Source organism: Homo sapiens, chromosome 6 (assembly GCF_000001405.40).
Source record: "Homo sapiens chromosome 6, GRCh38.p14 Primary Assembly".
Lineage (NCBI taxonomy): Eukaryota > Metazoa > Chordata > Mammalia > Primates > Hominidae > Homo > Homo sapiens.
In genome coordinates, this window is record NC_000006.12 from 3,784,635 (window position 1) to 3,790,478 (window position 5,844).

At 45.0% G+C, this 5,844-nt stretch overlaps 1 long non-coding RNA gene across 1 annotated transcript; it reads right to left on the reverse strand.

The window, feature by feature from the left end:
* Nucleotides 1–2,324: 2,324 nt before the first annotated feature.
* Nucleotides 2,325–4,485, reverse strand: LOC124901244 (uncharacterized). Its single transcript, XR_007059412.1, has 2 exons — nucleotides 4,321–4,485; nucleotides 2,325–4,040 (listed from the first exon to the last, which is right to left on the reverse strand). It is a non-coding gene; the product is annotated as an uncharacterized LOC124901244 (long non-coding RNA).
* Nucleotides 4,486–5,844: the final 1,359 nt, after the last annotated feature.

Here is a 5,844-nt window from a genome sequence, read left to right on the forward strand (position 1 = left end):
AGAGCGGTGCCCAGTGTTTTCCCGTGACAGTGGCACTGTTCGTTCACCACAGTCACCCTGTAACCGGCAGCGGTGCTGTTGACTTCGTCATGCCAAGGGATATCCAGTTCCGAGCACCTTCTGTTGCGTGTCTAAGACACTGTGGGAGCCTTTGGGAGGCAGGATGGTTTAAAATGGGGCACAGTTCCATATCACTTAGACAGAAGGATCAGGGTGGATTGTGACCTCCCAGTGATTGTCAGCCCTTCTGTCCTCCTTTCAAAGCTTTCAGACTTGGGGATACAGTTTGGCTCTGTGTCCTCACCCAAATCTCACCTCAAATTATAATCCCCATAATCCTCAAGGGTCAAGGGCGGGGCCAGGTGGAGGTGATTGAATCATGGGGGCGGTTTCCCCCATGTTGTTCTCGTGATGGTGAGTGAGCTCTCACGAGATCTGACGGGCTCGGAAGCGTCTGGCCTTTCCCCGCTTGCACTCACTCTGTCCTGCCGCCCGGTGAAGAAGGTACGTGCTTCTCCTTTGCCTTCTGCCATGACTGTCGGTTTCCTGAGGTCTCTCCAGCAATGCAGAACTGTGAGTCAACTAAACCTCTTTTCTTTATAAATTATCTGGTCTCGGTATTTCGTCACGGCAGTGTGAGAATGGACTAATACACTTGGGTTACAATTTTGGCAGACAAAATTGTGTTTTCTGTGTTTAGAATTACCAAAAAAAAGTAGGGAGATGGGGATGGTTTACATATAATCTACTCCTCTTAAAAGTTATTGGAGTGCAGTGGTGCAACCTCGGCTCACTGCAACATTCGTCTCCTGGGTTCAAGCAATCCTCCTGCTTCAGCCTCCCAAGTTGCTGGGATTACAGGCGCTCGCCACCACGCCCTACTAATTTTTGCATTTTTAGTAGAGAGAGGGTTTCATCGTGTTGGCCAGACTGGTCTGGAACTCATGACCTCAGGTGATCCACCCGCCTCGGCCTCCCAAAGTGCTGAGATTACAGGCGTGAGCCACTGTGCCCGGCCCTGGCCGACTGTCTTAAATTGTGCAATCTAGTGTCCATAAAACTCTAATTATTTTGCTGTCATTTAAATTTTTTTACTATTTAAAAATTTCACGTGTAATTACAGATGGTACGTTTGTTGAGAAAACATATGTACCACAGTATTTGTAGTCAGAATTCAGAAATAAGCACTGTAATGTTTTAGTGTGTATCACATTTCACGTCATTTCTATGCAGAAATAGACCACATGCCACAGAGTGAACTTTGTCTCTAGCCTCAGCTTTCTCATCTCTAAAGTGGGGAGATCCTCTCCTGCTTCACGGAGTTGTTGTTAGGATGGAATGAGCTCGTATCAGTAAAGTGCTGACAGCACTGTATACTAAGTTTTGGAAATGGAATTTAACTGTTTTATAACCTGCTTACCAGGGTTTGGGGCCAGACATAAAATTCATGCACCCCACTTTTGTCACATTCCACTGGAGAGAGCTGAACCTCAAACTCACACCAGACTCCAAGAGACACAGAAAACATAGTGTCCTGAGCAGGCTGACCCAGCGTAAGGCCAGGACTGCAGAGAAAGGGAAGCAGGTTTTGGTGGAGAGCTGATCTCTGCCCCAGGGTATTTTACCATTTTTCTATGTAAGTGTTAATATTTTGCTTTTCGATATATGTGTGTTCTTTATAAATGAGGGACAGCAACCTTATGACTCATGTATATTGCAAAATTTTTCTTTGGTGTCACTTTTCACTTGCAAAAATTTTCTTTGGTGTCATTTTTCACTTTTAATTTTGTTCATGGAATTTCCTATTTTTATTTGTTGTTGTTGTTTTAGACAGAGTCTCTCTCTGTCACTCAGGCTGGAGTGCAGTGGTGTGATCTCGGCTCACTGCAACCTCGCCTCCCAGGTTCAAGTGATTCTCCTGCCTCAGCCTTCTCAGTAGTTGGGATGAGAGGCGTATGCCACCACACCCAGCTAATTTTTGTATTTTTAGTAGAGATGGGGTTTTACCATGTTGGCCAGGCTGGTCTTGAACTCCTGATCTCAAGTGATCCACCTGCCTTAGCCTCCCAAAGTGCTGAGATTACAGGCGTGAGCCACCGTACCCAACTGGAATTTCCTATTTTTTGAAAAAACTTTTTGTAATATATTCACACATGTGACAAAAATGCATTAGAAAATAAAATTGCTCAGAATTCCACAACTACAAATGGCAATTCTGTTGCCTTGACGTAGTTGTGTGTGTTCCTTACACACTTGGGTTTATACTGTATATTCTGTAGATAATTTTATATCCTGCTTTTTAATTTAATATTATATTGTGAGAATTTTCCCATGAAGCTGGAATTTATTTAAAAACATACTTTTATGACTGCTTGTCAAAGCAGATGTCGTCACTCCTGTCATCCTGGGCTTAAAGGTGGACTCTGCTTGGTTTCCTTAGGTTGAATTTCTAAAAGAGAAATTACTTGTATCAAGGACACACAGAGAATGAGAAACGTTTGAAGCGGTGGTTATCCTAAATACTCTAATTTGATTATTAAGCATCGTATGCACAAATCAAAATATCACATGTACCTCATCAATATGTACAACTATTATGTATCAGTTAAAAAATGAATACACCGAGTTCTACTCGTCATGGACATTCAGCAAGGTTAGTGAGTCAAGCCGTTGAGGAAGCCGCTTTAAGACTGTGTCTGTAGAGTAATGAGCCACCTTAAAAACCTGGTCAAGAAACCATGTACTTTGAAATCCATCAGTTTTAGAGTCAGAGATAAACCACTGTTTGAAATAAAGGGTTGTTTTCAAATGTATTATTTTTAGAAGAATTCAGAACATCTAAAACTATGTTAGAAACCAAACTTACTTCGTCCTGTCAGACACCTTGATGACCCAGTTAACAAATATTCCTAAGCTATGCTTATGTGTTCAGTTCTATGCCAGAAACAGAGATATTAGACATAGCCTCTACTCTCAAGGAACGCACACCTTAGCTGTTAAGCGGGGCAGAAAATAAGAAATACATGAGAAGCTAAATAAACACATGTGTTTGATAATAATCTAAAGAAAGGCACAGAAGCTGAGATGGAGGGAGCAGCTGAGGCTCATTAGTGGCTGAGCATTGGAACAGGGATCAACCAACTTCTGCTTCTGAGGGGCCAACGTGACCATTCCGAGGGCCGCACTGACTCTAAAACAAGCCTCTTCGCCCCGATGAACTACACTCTGATGTCCAGTGGCCCACAGGCTGTTGTTTCTTTACGTTTGTTTTGAACTTCCCTTAAAGAATAAATATAAGAAGCAGGGCCTGGTGCATACCTATCATCCAAGCTCTTCAGGAGGCTGAGGCAGGAGGATGGCTTGAACCCAGGAGTTCCAAGATGCACTGAGCTATGATTATAGCACTGCTCTCCAGCCTGGGTGACAGAGTAAGACCCTGTCTCTAAAAATGAAATTTTTAGAAGCCATAAAACTTTCTCATTCATTCCTCATAAAAATGAAGCCATGTAAATATGACTCTTGGGAAAGAGCAGATATTCAACGTGGTAGAATATGGGATCTTCCATAGAGTGGCTGATGCAATGAAAAACATATACAATTGTAGCAGTCAGTTGTGCCCCTAACATTTGCGGGGCCCCAGGCAAGAGCGCACATGGAGGCCCACGCACCATAGGTTTAAATATTTAAAAGTTGCTCACCAAACTGATAAATATGTCCATATCCTCCTGCCTTTGCAAATATACCTTCATCATGACCTGAAGACAAGGTTCAAATGTAAAATTTCTGGGCACCGTGAGGTTAACAGCACAGTATGTAGCAGTGCAGGACGCTCCTGGCCTCTGGCCTGCCCCCTCCTCTTCTCACCCCAGCTCCTGAGTGGGCTCTCATGCATAGGCTCGGCCTGCTTAGACCACATGCCCAAGCTCTGTGCGTGACTCACAACAGCTGCCTGTCTTCACCCCTCAGGCCCACGGGTGGTGTCACCTGCAGTGTGGTGCTCCCCAGGAAGACAGATCCTAAGGAATCCCTTCATGCAGGACCTGAAAGTGAGAACAGAGCAACTTGGGCAGGAAATTTGGGGTCCCAGTTACCTGGAATGTGGTCTACAGAAAGACACATGAGCTCCAGGTGACGTCCTCACCCCAGTGGGTAGGGGCTGGATTGGGGCCCTGTAAAGCCTGGGGCCAGGGCAGAGCTGCCTCTCACTGGGTCTGGGTCAGCCAAGAGCCACCATTTGTGGAATGCACTCTGTGCTGTTCTCTGTGCTCACGTGTTGTAATTTCCACGTCACAGAGTTTTCAGGGCGCTTGCTCAACTCACAGCTGATAGTGGCAGAGCCAGAATTCCATCACTGGACGGCCGTCTGACTCCAGAATCCGTGCTCTTCCTCACACTGGTTTACCATTTCTCATTAAAGGCTGGGAAGCACTGGATTGGATTATCTCACGAGCCCACTTCCTTCCCAGTGATACTCTTCAGCCGTGTGAGCAGGGCAGGCCCAGCATCGCCACCTCTGCGATGAGGAGGTGGTCCAGACAGTCTAAGGTTCAGACCTGCTGACTTACGTTACACACGCTCCAGGCTAAGTTCTGTTACTAAACACTCCGAATCTGGGTTTATTGACCATTTGTGAACACGGGTTATGGTGTCCTCATCTGAACTTTCTCCGGATGATCTCCCTGAGTCAGTAGGAATGTTGAAATGACTCCATCCAGGTGAACTTTCATCCTCATGGAAAATATGTGGTTCTCTCCTGCTGCTGGCAACTCACAGTGTGGAGTAAACACATTCCCTTGGAAATGCTTGTAATTCTAGGTTTTTCCAACATGAAAGTATTTTATCAAAATAATGCTTAGTCTAAGCAGTGTTTTTTTCTGAGTTTCGACATCTTAGCTCTATGGATCATATTTTGACTAGGGCTATGGCCCAGTGTTGATCCCATTCCTTCACTGCTGGGTCTAGGAGCAGTAACTGAATTACTAGAAAGCCTTTCACGCTTCCTCTATGCAGGCCAGCTTGGGAACTTTGATAAAGAACCTTGGGAAAAAGCAACCACTGTAGGGCTCACAGCCCCTCAGCAGTAAGGCCAATAGCCCCTGACTGTGCCTGCATGCCGCAAAGGCACATAGGATAACATTGAGCTAAATTAAATTTATAATGTATTTTCTATCCCCAATATTACTCCCCTAAGGTCTAGTTAACGGGCAAAGGACTGAGTACTGGATGGTAGGATTTGGGTCAGCTGGGTAACCACCTGGCACAGTTCTGAACAGTGTGGCCGCAGGGGCGAGTTTCATATGATGGTCCACAGAGGAGCGATTTCAGTCTGTATGTGTTTCCCTGGGCAGTGGCAGGATGGGTTCCTGTTTACTGTTCTCATTTGTCCGGTTGTGAAAGAGTTTGTTTCATTCTTTTTGTTTGTTAACATCTTCAGCCCTGCAGCAACTAACCTCCGGGCTCTTCAGATAGTCTTGTGAGGTGAGAGCGGCAAGAATCCAATGTGGTCATTTTTTAAATTTTAATCTCAATCTTTTTTCCTTTTAGAATACTATTCAGTAACAGTTTAGAGCCGTAGACCAGCATGCCTTTAGCAAAATGACCTCATGACTCGGCATCCCAAGTTGTGAGTTCTAGTCCTGGTTGTGCCACTTTCTAACTTTCACTTCGCGCCTCAGTTTTGTTAATGTCAATTGGAGATAGAAGTGTTTGCCTTGCATACCTGGAGAGATGGGCAGGCATCTAACTGAGGACCATTTCGACAGTCATGAGTGGGTTAACCAAGGTGACAGGAAGGTGAGCAAGACGTAGCTCCTGCTCTCAATGGAAAATCAACATGTCAATGGC